The sequence below is a fragment of the Homo sapiens genome, chromosome 19 (genome assembly GCF_000001405.40).
Source record: "Homo sapiens chromosome 19, GRCh38.p14 Primary Assembly".
NCBI lineage: Eukaryota > Metazoa > Chordata > Mammalia > Primates > Hominidae > Homo > Homo sapiens.
This window is the reverse complement of record NC_000019.10, coordinates 21,093,437-21,113,452: the sequence shown is the minus strand read 5'-3', so window position 1 is coordinate 21,113,452 and position 20,016 is coordinate 21,093,437. Positions and strand designations below refer to the sequence as shown.

General features: G+C 39.6%; 1 protein-coding gene and 1 pseudogene across 4 annotated transcripts in view; one reads left to right on the top strand and one right to left on the bottom strand.

The window, feature by feature from the left end:
- Positions 1–20,016, bottom strand: part of ZNF714 (zinc finger protein 714) — a 42,892-nt gene that overhangs the window by 11,642 nt on the left and 11,234 nt on the right. For 2 of the 4 annotated variants that reach the window (NR_117087.2, NM_182515.4), the window contains exons 3-4: positions 15,142–15,268; positions 14,543–14,641 (exon numbers count right to left, since the gene is read on the bottom strand). Coding sequence is in view for 1 of the 4 variants with exons in the window: in NM_182515.4 (NP_872321.2) it covers positions 14,543–14,641; positions 15,142–15,184 (142 nt within the window). In the remaining 3 variants the exon portion in view is untranslated. Of the gene's footprint in view, positions 1–3,808; positions 3,831–14,542; positions 14,642–15,141; positions 15,269–20,016 lie in introns of all 4 variants that reach the window. The other 2 variants (NR_117086.2, NR_117088.2) reach the window with 2 other exon arrangements.
- RNA5SP469 (RNA, 5S ribosomal pseudogene 469) lies at positions 217–325 on the top strand (annotated as a pseudogene).

Sequence of the window (20,016 nt, the reverse complement as noted above, 5' to 3'; positions counted from 1 at the left end):
ATGCAAAAGAACTGAAATCATAACATGCCACTGCACCCCAGCCTGGGTGACAGTGTAACACTCTGTCTCAAACAAACAAACAAACAAACAAACAAAAACAAAACAAAAAAACTCACGAGTAAGAAACTCACTCAAAACCACACAACTACATGGAAATTGAGCAACCTGCTACTGAATGACTTCTGGCTAAATAATAAAATTAAATCAGAGGCTGGCATCCACAGCCACACCCTTCTGACCGTGCCCAATCTCGGAAGCTAAGCAGGGTCGGGCCTTGCTGGGACTTGGAGGGGAGACCACCTGGGAATACCGGGTGCTGTAGGCTTTGGCTGGGCATGGTGGCTCACACCTGTAATCCCAGCACTTTGGGAGGCCGAGGTAGGCAGATCACCTGAGGTCAGGAGTTCGAGACAAGCCTGGCAAACATGGTGAAACACACCATGTCTACTAAAGATACATAATATTAGCCCAGCATGGTGGTGGGTGCTGGTAATCCCAGCTACTTGGGAGGCTGAGGCAGGAGAATCACTTGAATCTGGGAGGCAGAGATTGCAGTGAGCCGAGATCGCGCCACTGCACTCCAGCCTGGGCGACAGAGCGAGACTCCGTCTCAAAAAAAAAAAAAAAAAAAAAAAATCAGAAATAAAAAAACTATTTGAAACCAATGAGAATGAAGAGACAATGTACCAGAATCTCTGGCATACAGCTAAAGCAGTGTTCATGGGGAAATTTATAGCACTAAATACCCAAATGAAAAAGCCAGAAAGATCTCAAATGGACACCCTAACATCACAACTAAAAGAACGAGAAAACCAAGAGCAAACAAACCTTAAAGCTAGCAGAAGACAAGAAATAACCAGATTCAGACTGGAAGTGAAGGACACAGAGACACAAAAAAACCATTCAAAAAAAAAAATCAATGAATCCAGGAGCTGTTTTTTTGACAAAATTAATAAAATAGACACTAGCTATAAAGAGAGATGAATGAAATAGACAATAAAAAATGATAAAGGGGATATCACCACTGACCCCATAGAAATAAAAACAACTTTCAGAAAACACTATAAACACCTCTGTGCACAAAAACTGGAAAATCTAGAAGAAATGGATAAACTGCTGGACATATCCATCCTTTCAAGTCTGAACAGGAAGAAGTTGAATCCCTGAATAGACCTATAACAAGTTCTGACACTGAGGCGGTAACAAATAGCCAATAGCCTACCAACCATAAAAAGTCCAGGGCCAGATGAATTTATAGCTAAATTCTACCAGAGGTACAAAGAGTACTATTTCTTCTGAAACTATTCCAAATGATAGAAAAGGAGGGGCCTCTCCTTAACTCATTCTATGAGGCCAGCATCATCCTGATATCAAGACCTGGCAGAGATATAACAAAAACAAACAAACAAAAAAACCTTCAAGCCAATATCCCTGATAAACATTAATACAAACATTCTCAATAAAATACTTGCAAACTGAATCTAGCAACACATTAAAAAGCTTATCCACCACAATCAAGTCAGCTTTATTCCTGGGATGCAAGGCTAGTTCAACATACAAAACTCGATAAACATAATTCATCACATAAACAGATTTAAAGACAAAAACCACACGATTATCTCAATAGATGCAGAAAAGGCCTTCGATCAAATTCAACATCCCTTCATGTTAAAAACTCTCAATAAACTAGGTATTCATGGAACATACATCAAAATAGTAAGAACTATCTATGACAAACTCACAGCCAATATCATACTAAAAGGGCAAAAACTGGAAGCATTCCCCTTGAAAACTAGCACTAGACAAGGATGCCCTCTCACCACTCCTATTTAACATAGTATTGGAAGTTCCAGCCAGCGAAATCAGGCAAGAGAAATAAATAAGCAGTATTCAATTAGGAAGTCAAACTTCTGTCTGCAGAAGCTTGCAGACGACATGTTTGCAGACAGCATGATCCTAGATCTAGAAAGCCCCATTGTCTCAGCCCAAAAGCTTCTTCATCTAATAAGCAACTTCAGCAAAGTCTCAGGATACAAAATCAATGTGCAAAAATCACAAGCATTTCAATACACCAACCATAAACAAGCAGACAGCCAAATCATGAATAAACTCCCATTCACAACTGCTACAAAGAGAATAAAGTACCAAGGAATACAGCTAACAAGGGAAGTGATAGACCTCTTCAAGGAGAACTACAAACCGCTGCACAAGAAAATCAGAGAGGACACAAACAAAAAGACAGAAAGAATCAATATTGTAAAAATGGCCATACTGCTCAAAGTAATTTATAGATTCCATGCTATTCTGACTAAACTACTACTGATATTCTTCACAGAATTAGAAAAAAACTATTTTAAAATTCATATGAAACCCCAAAAGACCCCATATAGCCAAGAGAATCCTAAGCAAAAAGAACAAAGCTGGAGGCATCATGATATCCAACTTCAAACTATACTAGAAGGCTATAGTAACCAAAGCTGCCTGGTACTGTTATAAAAACAGACACATAGACCAATGGAACAGAATAGAGAACTCAGAAATCTAAGACTGCATATCTACAACCATCTGATCTTTGAAAAACCTGACAAAAACAAGAAATGGGAAAAGGATTCCCTTTTAATAAATGGTGCTGGGAGAACTAGCTAGCCATAGGCAGAAAACTGAAACTGGACCCCCTTTCTTACACTTATACAAAAATTAACTCAAGATGAATTGAAAACTTAAATTTGAAACCCAAAACTACAAGAACCCTAAAATAAAATTTAGGCAATACCATTCAGGACATAGGCATGGGCAAAGATTTCATGAGGAAAGCGTCAAAAGCAATTGCAACAAAAGCAAACATTGACAAATGGTATCTAATTAAAGAGCTTCTGCACAGCAAAATAAATTGTCAGAGTGAACAGACAATCTACAGAATGGGAGAACATTTTTGCAATCTATCCATCTGACAAAAGCTAATATCCAGAGTCTACAAAGAACTTAAACAAATTTACAAGAATAAAACAAACAACCTCATTAAAAAGTAAGCAAAGAACAAGAAGAAACACGCCTCAAAAGAAGACATTTATGTGGCCAATAAAACATGAAAAAAAGCTCAACATCAGTGATCATTAAACAAATGCAAATCAAAACTACAATGAGATACCATTTCATGCCATCAAAATGGTGATTACTAAAAAGCCAAGAAACAACAGATGTTGGTGAGGCTATGGAGAAATAGAAATGCTTTTATACTTTTGGTGGGAATGTAAATTAGTTCAACCATTGTGAAAGCCAGTATGGCGATTCCTCAAAGACCTAGAACCAGATATACTATTGGACCCAACGATCCCATTATACTGGGTATATACCAAAGGAATATAAATCATTCTACTGTAAAGATACATGGATGTGTATCTTCACTGCAGCACAATTCACAATAGCAAAGACATGGCATCAACCCAAATGCCCATCTGTGACAGACTGGATAAAGAAAACGTGGTACGTATGCACCATAGACTACTATGCAGCCATAAAAAAGGAACAACATCATGTACTTTGCAAAGACAGAGATGGAGCTGGAAGCCATTATTTTCAGCAAACTAACACAGGAACAGAAAACCAAACACGACATGTTCTCACTTATAAGTGGAAACTGAACAATAAGAACACATGACATATGGGGGGAAACAACACACACTGGGGCCTGTTGCAGGGGAGGGAGAGAATCAGGATAAATAGCTAATGCATGCAGGGCTTATCACCGAGGTGAGGGGTTAATAAGTGCAGCAAACCACCATGGCACACGTTTACTTATGTAACAAACCTGCACATCCTGCACATGTATCCTGAAATAAAATTAAATTACATTAAATTAAATTAAAAAAAAAACAACAATGAAACTGGTAATAGTAACTTTATATCTTTAAGCAGTCATTTTAAATATAAATTAATTAAACTACTTATTTAAAAAATGTAATCTCAGAACTTTTGGAGGTTGAGGAATCTGATCACTTTAACTCAGGAGTTTGAGACCAACCTAGACAACAGGGCAAAAAATTGTATCTACAGAAAAAGGTACAAAAAACTATCTGGGCTTGGGATGGCAAATATTTGCAACCCAGCTACTCAAGAAGCTGAAATGAGATCATCTGAGTTTGGGAGGTTGAGGCTGCAGTGAGTCATGATCATGCCACTGCAAACCAGCCTGGTTGACAGAGTGAGACTTTATCTCAAAAATAAATAAATTTATAAAAAGAAAAAATAAGATGGCTTAGTGGCTTAAGTTAAAAAGCATACAATTTGCTGTCTATAAGAGACTCATTTTAGCATTAAGTCAAATAGGTTGAAAGTAACAGAATGGAAAAAAAACTATATTCCATGCAAATAGTAACCACAATTGGATGAGGTGGTAATAATTATATTGGATGTATTTTAAGTCAAGTACTAGCATAGGACAAACACAGTATTACATAATGGTCAAATGGGTCAATTTACCAGGAATCTATAACTATCATATCTATTTATATGTATATGTGTCTGTATATATAACATGAGGTTTCCAAAATATACAAAGCAAATTTTGGCAAAGGTGAAGCAAGAAATACATAGCAACATAATTGTAGAGATCAAGACATCATTTGCAATAATAAATAGAAAATTCAGATAAAAGATCAATAAGAAAACAGAAAACAGACATTATAGACTGTATTAACTATTTTGCATAAAGAGGAATACCTGAGTGTATAACTTATAAAGAAAGAAGGTTTATTTGGCTCACAGCTCAGCAGACTGTACAAGAAGGGTGTAACAGCATCTGCTTCTGGTGAGGGTCTCAGGAAACTTACAATCATGGTGGAAGACAAAGAGTAACTGGACATATCACATGGTAAGAGACGGCAAGCGTGAGGTGAAGGAGTCAGTTTCTTTAAATGAACCAGTTCTCATTTGAATTAATGGAGTGAAAACTTTCTCATGACCAGGATAGCACAAAGGCATTCATGAAGAATTTGTCCCCATGACCCAAACACCTCCCACCAGGTTTCACATCTAACATTGAGGATTACACTGCAGCATGAGGTTTGCAGGACATAGACATCCAAACCATACCACAGACCAACTAGGCTTAACAGATAGGTACAAAACTTTTCAGTTAAAAGCAAGAAACAACACAATGTTCTTATTTGCACCTGATGTATTCTGTTAGGACACATAACAAGTCTTATTAAATACTGGCTGGATGTGTGGTTGGTACCTACAATCCCAATAATTTGGAAGATGAAGGTGGGAGGATCACTTGGGATCAGAAGATTGACACCAGCCTGAGTAACACAGTGAGACCCTGTCTAGTGAGACCCATTACTACAAATAACCAAAAAAATTAGCGAGGCATGGTAGTGCATGTCTGTAGTCTCAGCTACATAGGAGGCTGAGGTGGAAAGATCGCTTGAGTCAAGGAGGCTGAGGTTGCAGTGAGTCAAATTTATGTCAATGTACTCCAGCATGGGTGATAAATATGATCCTGTCTCAAAACGACAATAAATAAGAAGACCAAAATCATACACTTTGTTTTCTGACCAAAACTGAATAAAACTAGAAATTAAAAAGTAAAACTGGCAAATCCAAGAATATCTAAAAATAAAACACATGGGTTGAGTACGGTGGCTCATGCCTCCAATACTAGCATTTAGGAAGGCTGGGCAGGAAGATTGCTTGAGCTCAGAGGTTCAAAACTAGCATGGACAACGTAAGAAAACCCTGTCTCTAAAACAAATAAAATAAAAATAAAAGACACTCTTCAACGTATTTTTGTTCAATGGTCAATAAAATTAATTTTGTTAAGATGTCAGTACAAACTACAGTGGGAAACAAATTCAATATAAGCTCTTTAAAAATCCCAAAAGTACAGTTTCATTATAGAAATCTTGTCTATGGCTGGGTGTGGTGGCTTACACCTGCAATCCCAGCATTTTGGGAGGCCAAGGTGGGCGGATCACCTGAGGTCAGGAGTTCAAGACCAGCCTGACCTACATGGAGAAACCCCATCTCTACTAAACATACAAAATTAGCCAGGCGTGGTGGCACATGCCTGTAATCCCAGCTACTCCGGAGGCTGAGGCAGGAGAATTGCTTGAACCCGGGAGGCGGAGGTTGCGGTAAGCCAAGATTGCGCCATTGTACTCCAGCCTGGGCAACAAGAGCGAAATTCCGTCTCAAAAAAAAAAAGAAAGAAAACTTGTCTAAAATTTAAAAATTTGATTTGGAACTATAACCAGCCAAACGCCCAGGAAAAAGAACAAAGAGGTATTATACTTCCAAATTTTAAAACATATTAAAAGCTAAAATAAGCCAGGTACCGTGGCTCATGTCTGTAAGCCCAGCACTTTGGGAGGCTGAGGTGGGTGGATCACGAGGTCAGGGGATCGAGACCATCCTTGCCAACATGGCGAAATCCTGTCTCTACTAAGAATACAAAAATTAGCGGGGTGTGGCAGCGTGTGCCTGTAATCCCAGCCACTTAGGAGCTGGAGGCAGGATAATCGCTTGAACCCGGGAGGCAGAGGTGCAGTGAGCCGAGATCGCACCACTGCACTCCAGCCTGGTGACAGAGCTAGACTCCATCTCAAAACATACATACATACATACATAAATAAGCTAAAATAACAAAAACAGTATGGTACTGACACAAAGGCAGATAAACAGATGAAAGAAAAGAGTGGAGAGCCCAGAAATGAAGCCTTCTGTATATGATTACATGATCTTCCACAAGGTTGCCACGAGCACACAACAGAGAAGAGATAATCTTTTCAAAAAATAATGCCATAAACTGGATAACAACACTGATAAAGTTGAATCATTTCCTTGAACCATATACAAAAAATATTTGTTTTTTTTTTTTTTTTGAGACGGAGTCTTGCTCTGTCACCCAGGCTGGAGTGCAGTGGCACGATCTCGGCTCACTACAACATCCGCCTCCCAGGTTCAAGTGATTCTCCTGACTCAGCCTCCTGAGTAGCTGGGATTACAGGCGCCTGCCACCACGCCCAGCTAATTTTTGTATTTTTAGTAGAGATGGGGGTCTCACCATGTTGGTCAGGCTGGTCTCGAACTCCCGACCTCGTGATCCGCCCGCCTCGGCCTCCCAAAGTGCTGGGATTACAAGCGTGAGCCACCGTGCCCGGCCCGATTTTATTTTATTTATTTATTTATTTTTGGAGTGACGGAGTCTCACTCTATTGCCCAGACTGGAGTGCAGTGGTGCGACCTCGGCTCACTGAAATCTCTGCCTCCCAGATTCAAGTGATTCTCCTGCCTCAGGTTCCCAAGTAGGTGGGACTACAGGCACATGCCACAATGTCCAGCTAAGTTTTGTATTTTTTAGTAGAGATGGGGTTTCACTATATGTTGGCCACGCTGGTCTCAACCTCCTGACCCTCACGTGACCCTCCCGCCTTAGCCTCCCAACATGCTGGAATTACAGGCATATGCCACCGCGCCTGGCCTATTTATTTTTTTTGAGATGGAGTCTCATTCTGTCACCAAGGCTGGAGTGCAGTGGCATGATCTCGGCTCACTGCAACTTACACCTTCCGGGTTCAAACAATTCTCCTGCCTCAGCCTCCCGAGTAGCTGGGACTACAGGCATGCACTAGCACGCCCGGCTAATTTTTGTATTTTTAGTGGAGACGGGGTTTTACCATGTTGGCCAGGCTGGTCTCCAACTCCTGACCTCAAGTGATTCACCCGCCTCCATCTCCCAAAGTGCTGAGATTATAGGCATGAGCCACTGCGCCTGGCCAAAAAATATTTCAAATAAAATGCTTAGACATAAAAAGAAAAAACAGAAAAACAAAAAAACAAAAAACTAGCGAATCTCTTAGAAAAAAAACTTGACATGGGTCTTGGCACCATTTCCTAAGATACGACATTAAATGCATATGCAACAAAGGAAAGAACAGAAATATTTAACTACACTATACTTCAGAATTTCTGCACATTAAAAAAAATTCAATAGACTGAAAATGTCATCTAGGAAGTGGGTGAAAATATATGGAACTCACAAGTGAAAGTAGTTAATATTCAGAGTATATGAACAACTCTTAAAACTGAACAATAAAGTTGAATAACTTTATTTAGAAATGAAAAAGTAAGGCCAGGCCCGGTGGCTCACGCAGGTAATCCCAGCACTTTGAGAGGCCGAGGCGGGTGAATCACAAGGTCAGGAGTTCAAGACTGGCCTGACCAAGATGGTGAAACTCTACTAAAAATACAAAAGTCAGCCAGGCATGGTGGTAGGCACCTATAGCTACTGAGAAGGCTGAGGCAGGCTGAGGCAGGAGAATCACTTAAACCCAGGAGGCAGAGTTTGCAGTGAGCCAAGATCACACGATTGCACCCCAGTCTGGGAGACAGAGTGAGACTCCGTCTCAAAAAAAAAAAAAAAAGAAAGAAATGAAAAAATAATTTTCATCAAAAAATATACCCAAATGGGATAAAACATTTGAAAAGAAAAGCAGAATTAATGATTTGCAGAGAAACATATAAAAATAAAAATGAGGCCGGGCGCTCACCTCACGACTGTAATCCCAGCACTTTGGGAGGCCGAGTCAGGTAGGATCACCTGAAGTTAGGAGTTCAAGACCAGCCTGGCCAACATGGTGAAAACCCCCGTTTCTACTAAAAATACAAAAACTAGCCAGGCATGATGGCAGGTACCTGTAATCTCAGCTACTCGGGAGGCTGAGGCAGGAGAATTGTTGGAATCCAGGAGGCGGAGGTTGCAGTGAGCCATTGCACCATTGTACTCCAGCCTGGGTGATAACAGTAAGACTTCATCACAATAAATAAATAAATAAATAAATATATAAATAAATAAAATGAAAAAACAAAATTGCCTCACACTCATTACAATGGCCACTATACCTTTTTTTAAAACACCAAATCTGTTGATGATGCAATGAAAATAAAACTATGTTGACTGTTGGTAGAAAACAAGATGCAACCATTATTTTAAATGTTATAAATGCTTCTTAATTAAAAATGGAATTATCATCAAATACAGCAATCTCACTTATGAATATATTTCCAAAATATGAAGCACAGGGCCTGGAACACAAATTCGAACATCCATGTTTATTGTACCAGTATTCACAAAAGCCAAAAGGCAGAAGCAACCCAGTTGTCTCTTAATTTACAAACACATAAAAAATGTAACATATACATCCAATATCACAGAAATCAAAGATTATCAAATATTATCATAATTAAATCAAATATAATCAAAGAAATCTTGTCACATTTTAAGATAAACTTTGAAAATATTATGTCATGGGAAATAAGCCCATAACAAAATGATAAAAACTGTATGATTCCACTATGTATATGAGATATCTTAAGCAGTCACACTCATAAAAACAAAGTGGAACGGTGTTTGTCAAGGGCCGCGGAGAGGGTAAAATGGGTTCTTGTTACTTAAATGGGTACTGAGTTTTAGTTTCACAAGATGTAAAATTTCTAGAAGTCTTTTGCATAACAATGTGAATATATTTAACATGACTGAAATGTACAGCTTCTTTTTGAGACAGGGTCTCACTCTGTCACTCAAGCTGAAGTGCAGTGGCAAAATTATGCCTCACTTCAGCCTCAAACTCCCAGGCTCAAGTAATCCTCCCCTCAATCTCCCAAATAGCTGGGACCACAGGTGCACACTAACATGCCTGGATATTTTAAAAAATTTTTGTAGAGAGGGAATCTCCGAATGTTGCCCAGGCTGGGCTCAAATGATACTCCTGTCTTGGCCTCCCAAAATCCAGGGATTACAGATGTGAGCCACCACGTCTGGCCCTGAAATGTGCACTTAAATAGACTTAAGATGCTAAATTTTAATATGTTTTTACTGTTTTTTCTTCTCATTTTTTTGAGACATAATCTCGCTCTGTCACCCAGGCTGGAGTGCAGTGGCGTGATCTCGGCTCACTGCAACCTCTGCCTCCTGGGTTTAAGCGACTCTCCTGCCTCAGTCTCCTGTGTAGCCCGAACAACAGGCGTAGGCCACCATGTCCAGCTAATTTTTGTATTTTTAGTAGAGACAGGGTTTCACCATGTTGACCAGGCTGGTCTGGAACTCCTGATCTCAAGTGAGCTGCCTGCCTCAGCCTCCAAAGTGCTGGGATTACAGGCGTGAGCCACCGAGCCAGGCCTGTTATGTGTTTTTACAACAATTACTTTTTCTAAAGGAAAAATGGAAAAAATACTAAATTACAAATCTTCTCAAAAATTACCTTCAAATCACAAAAAGTGTTTCTCTCACACAAAGGAAATATATATTCATCATTAGACACATGGAGATAATAAGACATAATGAAAGTATTTCCATGACTACTCGCTTAGACAAGATAAAATACCCACTGAAAATCAGCTAAGAAAGTATACAAGATAAGCCATAACCAATATTGGGGTCATATTTATAGATAAACACACACACATATATAATCCGATTGTGATAGATGTATGGCTGATTTATCTCTTAATTAAACATCACATTGACTTAAAGTATACAAACAGAACTGCAAATTGGCTAAAATTATATAAGAAAAACTAAAAAACACAATAAGCTGATGTTAAGAAACCTACACTGAAAAAACACTAACATGAAAACTGCACAACAGTAAGAGACATGTTTACTCATAAAATCTGGTATGCAACATTAATATACCTTTAAAAAAGAATTGTCTGGATAACTACAATATTTGTGTACTCATGGAAGGCAGGTATTTCGAATAATTGGCATGCACTATGTGGCAGTAAAATTTCACAGAATATGCAGTATAATTATAAATAGAACATACTAATGAGAAACTTTTAATAAGCATGTAAAAGAAATGTGATAATTTTTATGTTTTAAATATATGCTATTCTTACACAAAATGAAACTGCTGTAATCCAACTTAAGCAAAGAACAGCATTACATTGCTAAATTAAAACTTATATTTTTCAAAATAGGGTTAGAGCCTCTGATATGTAAAACAAATATTTACAAGTAAATTATCATTTAGATATATGCTGAAGAAAGTGGGTGAAAATCCTATAATTCCTTTTTACCTGCAGCAAACTTAAATTTAAGTAACCATTCTAGTAATATGGAGTGCCTATCAATTATCTAATTTATTTCAGGCATAACATGTAAATTCTAGCATATTGTCCTAAATGTCCAAATCTAAAATTACAGACAAGTTTGAAATGGAAAATAGAAAGTAAAAATGTATAGAAACAGTAACATCAGTGACATGAAAAAATAAAAGGTGCTCTATTTGATTATCCTCACCACAGCAAAAAAGTTTTTCAGTCATCCCTGACAAAAAAATGCCTTTATGAGACAGCCAGGTATCATGGCTCACATCTGTAATGACTGCTACATGGTACACTGAGGTTGGAGAATTGCTGCAGGCCAGGATTTCCAGACCAGCCCGGATGATAAACAAGATCCCATCTCCCAAGTAAGTGCCTTTAGAAGAGCTTTGAGACCCAGGGAGGGAGTTGTGAAACTCTGCTAAAGCCCAAGATTGAGGAGTGTTTTTTTCAGAGGACAGGCACTTATTCATGTGAGAAACTACAGGACCCCTGGTTTTGGCTACAGACCAAGAAATGGCCCACGCAACTTGGTCCAACAGAGAATTCTGAAGTTAACTCTGTAACCATCCCAAACTCCTCCCAGTTACAGTCTAAGAGAGGTCCTGCCCTTTCAGAGACCTGGAGGAAGACACCCATTTGCAGCCATGCAGACAGGCCTACAGGCCTTGGTTTTTACTGTAGTCCCTGAAGTAGTTTAATGACTCAGTTCCAGCTCTCTGAGCCACAGTTCATGACCAGTTTTGCTTAAGTAGAAACTCACACAGTGACCTGAGGAAATCCTCTCTGGTACTCAGTGAAAGGCAAACCCATTCACATCCTGATATAAGGGCCATTATATATGGAGCCAACTGCAGACACTGCCCTCGTGTCTGCCCTACAGATCAAAGTCTTAAAGAATAATCTGTCCAAAAATAAAATGGAAATTATGATTACCCAAGCCCTTGGTAACAAACCATCTAAAGGTGGATGCTAGTGCAGACTGAGCAGTCTTGTGACCAAGCTACAACCCCTCTTCACTACAAACCCAGAGGGCATCCCATCACCCTAGGGACACAACAGAAAAAGATCTTTACCTCCTGAAACCAGATAACAAAAGCTTAAGGAGTTGTTTGCTCCTTCAAATTCACAGATATCAATATAAAACTATATTGTGCCCATTGTCAATGCTTCTATTTTAATGAAGCACTGAAAGTGTATGGCACAAGGATTAGTCAAAAACATTTTTAAAAAGCCATTGGAATTGAAGAGAAATAAGTAAAAAGTTGCTTTTTGTGGATAGTATGATCTTATTATATAAAAAACCATAAACAGTACATTAAAATTTGTCTAAAAAGCCGGGCTTGGTGGCTCACACCTGTAATCCCAGCACTTTTGGGGGCCGAGGCGGGCAAATCACGAGGTCAGGACTTCAAGAACAGCCTGGCCAACATAGTGAAACCCTGTCTCTACTAAAACTACAAAAAAAATTAGCCAGGTGTAGTGGTGGGCGCCTGTAGTCCCAGCTACTTGAGAGGCTACGGGAGAATCATTTGAACCCAGGAGGTGGAGGTTGCAGTGAGCTAAGATCGCGCCATTGCACTCCAGCCTGGGTGACACAGTGAGACTCTGTCTTGAACAACAACAAAATTGTCTAAACTAATAAATACAGTCAGTAAATTAGCAAAATATAAAATTAACATACGTTATGCTTCCATACACTTAAACTATCTGATGCAATAAAGAAAACAATCTTATTTATAATAGTATTAAAATAATAAATTTCTGAAAACCAATTTAACCAAGAAGGTAAAAAATCTTTTTGTTTTATTGAGATGGAGTTTTGCTCATGCTGCCCAGGCTGGAGTGCAATGGTGCCATCTTGGCTCACCACAACCTCTGCCTCCTGGGTTGAAGCGATTCTCCTGCCTTAGCCTCCTGAGTAGCTGGGATTACAGGCATGTAATCTATGCCTGTAATATGGCCAGCCACTTTTGTATTTTTAGTAGAGACGGGGTTTCTCCATGTTGGTCAGGCTGATCTCGAACTCCTGACCTGAGGGGATCCACCTCCCTGGCCTCCCAAAGAGCTGGGATTACAGGTGTGAGACACTGCGGCTGGCCAAGGTAAAAAATCTTTACAATGAAATATATAAGATATCAATGAAAGAAATTAGAGAAGACAAAAATAAATTTAAAAATATTTTATGTCGGCTGGGCATGGTGACTCATGCCTGTAATCCCAGCACTTTGGGAGGCCAAGGTGGGCGGATCACAAGGTCAGGAGATCGAGACCAGCCTGGACAACAAGGTGAAACCCCGTCTCTACCAAAAATACAAAAATTAGCCGGGCATGGTGGCACATGCCTGTAATCCCAGCTATTAGGGAGGCTGAGGCAGGAGAATCACTTGAACTCGGAAAGTGGAGGTTGCAGTGAGCTGAGATTGCACCACTGCACTCCAGCCTGGGTGACAGAGCGAGACTCTGTCTCAACAACAACACAAAATTTCATGTCTATGGATTGAAAGAATAAATATTGTTAAAGTGCCATATTATCTAAAGTCATCTACACATTCAATAAACTTCCTAATAAAATTCCAGTGGCATTTTTTTCACAATAGAAAATACGATTCTAAAATTTACAAGAAACTACAATAAACTTCAAATAGCCAAAGCATTCTTGAGAAAAAAAAGAACAAAGCAGAGGGACAGGACATCATAATTTATAATTTCAAACTATATTTTAAGACTATAGTAATAAAAACAGGATGGACTATGCAGAAAAATTAACAAGAAACCCCTAATGGAACAGAAACCACTACTCTCACATATTTCAGACAGGATGCAAAAAGAGAACTAAAAAATAATGTAACATAGAGTTTTCCAGCTGGGCACGGTGGCTCACACTTGTAATCCCAGCACTTTGGGAGGCCTAGGTGCGCAGATCACTTGAGGACAGGAGTACAAGACCAGCCTGGCCAACATGGTAAAAACCCGTCTCTACTAAAAATACAAAACAATTAGCTGGGTGTGGTGGCAGGCGCCTGTAATCTCAGCTACCCAGGAGACTGAGGCAGGAAAATCGTCGAACCCAAAAGGCACAGGTTGCAGTGAGTTGAGATCACGCTACTGCAATCCAGCCTGGGCAACCAAAGCGAAACTCTGTCTCAAAAAACAAAACAAAACAAAACAAAAAAAAACAGTGTTTTTCAAAATTATGCAGATATTTGTGTGTTCACCCAAGGAAAAGGAAAATTCTTAGAGAATTTAAAAGCATAAGACAGAAGATGCCCTTTAGTGAGAGAAAATTTTAAGAAAATATTCAGTCTTCCCAGAAACTATATACTTTGCAAAACAGCTTCCCAAATCACATTGTAAGGGCCGGCTTGCTTTTTTTTTTTTTTTACCTTTGTACCTCTCATCTGTGTCATCTGTTGTGTTCACTCTCACCTACCTGGGGATTCATCCACCATCTCACATATCTTCATATTCCAGGGCTCTTTTTCTTGCTCTAGACTGGTGATCGGGTCTTGCTTAGAGACAGCAATACCTGCTTTATTAAAAGTAAATAGCATAAATCTTGCTTATATTCTCTAGTTACCAACCTAGTACTGTGCTCAGTAAAAAGGATATAATAGAATATTTTAGAAAATTAATCCTAAAATACTAATTAATGAGACACATCTCTAACTATTTAGAAAATATTTTAAATTTGTAGGTCCTTAATTTCACTACCTGGTACTCATGAATCAAAAATTGACAGTGGAAAATAGATTTTAAGATACGGGCAATATTTTATGCCACCAAATTTCTGGAATTACCACTAATCTAGAGTGAAGGATGCAGATCAGCTCAGGAATGTGGAAAGTTCAGGTCAGGATGAAACATGTTGAAGAAATTCTTTTCTACAGAGACAAATCATCAAGATTTTCTTGAAAACTGGGATCAGAAACTCATTTATACAAAGCATAAATTACCAAAGAAAATTCTACAAAAAAAGAGACATAAAACGTTTAGGGTATATTAAGACTTATGTATTAAAGTTATTCTCACCCAAGAAGACCAGGTTTTTGTAGTTCTCTAACATCACATTCATATATAAATTCTGCTGAGCAGGGTTCAGGCATTCCCACTCCTCCAGAGAGAATTCTATGGCCACATCCCTAAATGTCAACGTCTCCTGAAAAACACATACGCACAGACACACGTATATTTACCAAGTGGCCATGGGCAGAATTTATTATTTGAATTAAGGTGAAATGAGAGAGTAAAGAGAATTGGTTGACTTATAAGAATAACTGAAATTATCCAATAATTTTTAACACAGAAATATTCTCTAATGTATTACTCTGAGGGCAGAGAATGGCATAAGATCCACAACACCAGTGCATATATAATACTTTTCTGGATGATAAAGAATATAATTAAGGACACAAACGTATACATTTTTGAGTGCTATATTTACATCATAATGAGTTGTGTATATTTTTCAGACAAAAAAAGACATGTTGAGTTAGATGGTACCTCTCAAATTTAAATATGTACAATAAACTGGAGATCCTGTTGTGAAGCTTTTTTTTTTTTTCCCCAGAAGATCTGGAATAAAGTCTGAGTTTTTAAAATTCTAACAAGGTTACTAGCAATGCCAATGTTTTTGACCCCAGAAGACTATTTTGTCAGACATTCAGTAAGTGAAAGAGATTGTGTTTTTCCCAACTTTTTTGGTCTGTAAACAAAGATAAGAGCCTTCATTTTCCAAAGACACATATGTGCAAAAAACAAACAAAAAAACCTAAGAAAAAAGGGCAGGTGCCAGATTAAATGTGATAGTTTATTAGCTACATAAAGATACTTAACAATAAAGAGAAAAACAATTAACTCTATAGTGAAAAAAAGTCAGAGAGCTCTTTAACCAAGCAAATTATTAACATCAACAACACTAGAATAAATTTTTATGATGTGCTGATGCACAAAGAAGAACACAACATCACTGCTGAGATATTGCCCCTCAAAAAGTCAATTATAGACTGAATTTAACCATAAAGAAAAAATCAGTTTCATGCGAAGGTCAAGATATCTCCCATGTTCTATAATTTTTAGTAATGATTTTAAGTAGTCCTTTCTTTAGCATCCTAGAAAGCAGGTATCTCTGAATAATTTTCTCCAGAACTTCCTGGGTAATAAATGCTATCCTGAACAGGCCGGGCGTGGTGGCTCACACCTGTAATCCCAGCACTTTGGGAGGCTGAGGCAGGCGGATCATGATGTCAGGAGATCAAGACCATCCTGGCTAACACAGTGAAACCCCGTCTCTATTAAAAATACAAAAAATTAGCCGGGTGTGGTGGTGGGCGCCTGTAGTCCCAGCTACTTGGGAGGTTGAAGCAGGAGAAAAGCATGAACCCAGGAGGCGGAGCTTGCAGTGAGCTGAGATTGCGCCACTGCACTCTAGCCTGGGCAACAGAGCGAGACTCTGTCTCAAACAATAAAAATAAATAAATAAATAAATAAATGCCATCCTGTTTAAATAAGCATATTCTTAATCCTGTTCTGCATAGAGCTAATGGAGAACACAAGCGACACCTCAACATTATATGTTCTCCATCTTTACTAAGGACCCCAGCTTTCCCCCAATAGGAATCTTGAGTATCCACATCTTCCCATGTTCAGCAGCCACAAAAGGAACACTTTTAATATGGCAGATCATAAATTCATGGTAGGAATTCTGCATTGCATATAAGAAGCCATGATGTAGAGAAGGCTCTCGTACATAGGATAGAAATATTTTTTAGAGATCCTTGACTATCACAAGAATTTTTAAAAGTATGTGAAACAAAATCATTGGGGAGGGAAAACAGAAGTAGAGAAGTAAAGGTTTGCAAGTACTAAACTCATGGCACTCCAGGAGGCAGAGTGGACACAGCTCTTGATCTGAGATATGTTTAGCTGAAAAGAAGCATTTTTCCTCTTTCTCCTCCTCTAGAAATCCTTTTCAGATAAAATTCTCTGGACAAGTAACACCTGCATCTTGAGACAAGTCCCTTAAAGGCATCAGCACCACCTGCTTACCTACTAGCCTCACACTCACAGACAGAAGGACCAAGACCAAAAAGTCCACTCATCTTTCTCCTTTATAACAGAAGAGATTCAGGAACAATGAGTTGCTCCACGGAAATAAAAATATATGTTCCTCTTTTACCGTCCACAGGTGCCCTCCCCTGCCACAGACACCAACAATTTCTACTACAGTAATGAAAATATGAAAATATGGGCCACTGCCCTGTCCCTACCAAACCCAAACAGAACAGGTCCTGAAGCCACCCTTTAGTGCAAATGTGGCACTTAACTCTCAGGAATGTATCTTGAAGCCTTCATACTTGATTCTGGCCTCACCATAGAGTCATATGAGGCCCTGGAGTTTCACTGTCTTACCACACGTATCTACATGTATCATGATGAAGATACCAAAAGCAACTGCAACAAAAGCAAAAATTGACAAATGGGACCTCTTGGGGTGATCAGACCCAACATCAGGTCGTGGGGGTGACAAAGTCCGGTGGAGTCAAAGGATTGAGAAAAAAGACAGTTTGAGATATAAAGGTGGGACACCAGGCTAGGCGCGGTGGCTCACGCCTGTAATCCCAGCACTTTGGGAGGCTGAGGCGGGCGGATCATGAGGTCAGGAGATCGAGACCACAGTGAAGCCCCATCTCTACTAAAAATACAAAAAAAAAATTAGCTGGGTGTCGTGGCGGGCGCCTGTAGTCCCAGCTACTCGGGAGGCTGAGGCAGGAGAATGGCGTGAACCCGGGACACGGAGCTTGCAGTGAGCTGAGATCACACCACTGCACTCCAGCCTGGGTGACAGAGCGAGACTCTGTCTCAAAAAAAAAATAAAAGATGGAACACCAGGGGGCCATCACCATTATGGAGGCTGTGAAGGCCCTGAGCTCTGGGAGCCCACGGTATTTACTGATAATCCAACAAAGAAACAGGTGGTGAGAACGTGGAGGTCAAAAGAGCAGGCGCATGATCTACAGCTGTGATGGTTTAGCATTATAAGGAACATGTTCTGCTACTTGAGATAATGGGAATAGGAACCTAGGAAAGCTAGAAGCAAGGAGCCAGCAGGTCTAGACACATTCCAGAGGACATTATGCAAGGCCTGCCTCAGTTTCCCTCCCAACACCCAGCTTTTTCCCAACAGGGACCTAATTAAAGAGCTTCTTCATAGCAAAGGAAACTATCAATGGAGTAAACAGACAACATACCAAATAAACAAAAATATTTGCAAACTATGTTCCTGACAAAGGTTTAATACCCAGAATTCATAAAGAAGTTAGGCAGGTTTACAGAAAAAAAAACTTCATTAAAAAGTAGGCAAAAAAACATGAACAGATGCTTTTCAAAAGAAGACAAACATGTGGCTAACAAGCATGTGCAAAAAATGCTCACCACTAATCACTACAGAAATGCCAAAAACAAACTAACAAAAACCACAATGAGACACCATCTCACACCATTCAGAATGGCTGTTGTTAGAAAGTAACAGGCTGGGTGCGGTAACCCCAGCACTTTGGGAGGTCAAGGCAGGCAGATCACTTGAGGTCATGAGTTTGAGAGCAGCCTGGCCAATATGGAGAAATCCTATCTTTACTAAAAATACAAAAATTAGTCAGGCTTGGTGGCACACATCTGTAGTTCCAGCTACTCCAGAAACTAAGGCATGAGAATCTATTGAATCAAGGAGGTGGAGGTTGCAATGAGCTGAGATCACACCACTGTACTCCAGCCTGGGTGACAGAGTGAGACTGTCTCAAAAACCAAAGTCAGTAACATGCTGGTAAGGTTGCAGAGAAAATGGAATGTTTATACACTGCTGGTGGGAGGGTAAATTAGTTCAACCATTGTGAAAAGCAGTGTGGTGATTCCTCACAGAACTGAAAACAGAATTACTGTTTGACCCAGCAACCTCCAAATTGAGTATATATCCAAAGAAATATAAACTATTCTACCATAAAGACACATGCATATGCATGTTTATTACAACACTGTTTGCAATAACAAAGACATGGGCTGGGCTCAGTGGCTCATGCCAGTAATCCCAGCACTTTGGGAGGCTGAGGCTGGTGGATCACCTGAGGTCAGGAGTTCGAGGCTAGCCTAGCCAATATGGCAAAACACCATCTCTACTAAAAATACAAAATTTAGCCAGGTGTGGTTACATGTGCCTGTAGTCCCAGCTACATAGGAAACTGAGGCAGGAGAATCGTTTGAACCCAGGAGACAGAGGTTGCAGTGAGCTGAGATGGTGCCACTGCACTCTGGTCTGGGCAACAGAGTGAGACTCCGTCTCAAACAAACAAAAAACAAAAACATGGAACAAATCTAATTGCCTATTAATGTAGACTAGATTAAAATAATAAGGTATGGTCAGGTGAGGTGGTTCACACTTGTAATCCCGGCACTTTGGGAGGCCGAGGCAGGTGGATTACCTTAGCTCAACAGTTCAAGACCAGCCTGGGCAACATGACAAAACCCCATCTCTACAAACGATAGAAAAAGAAGTTAACTGGGTATGGTGGTGCATGCTTGTAGTCCCAGTTACTTAGGGGGCTGAAGAGGGTGCCTTGAGCCTGGAAGGTTGAGGCTGAAGTGAGCCAAGATTGCACCACTGCACTTCAGCCTTTGCAACAGAGTGAAACACTGTCTCCAAATAAAATTAATTAATTAAATAAAATAGAAGATTTAATAAAAACAAAGTATGGTATGTAAACATGATGGAAGATTATGTGGCCAATAAAAAAACAAAAAAACAAAAACAAAAAAAAACAAGCTGGGCGTGGTGGCTCAGCCTGTAATCCCAGCATTTTGGGAGGCTGAGGCGGGCGGATCACCTGCGGTCAGGAGTTTGAGACCAGCCTGGGC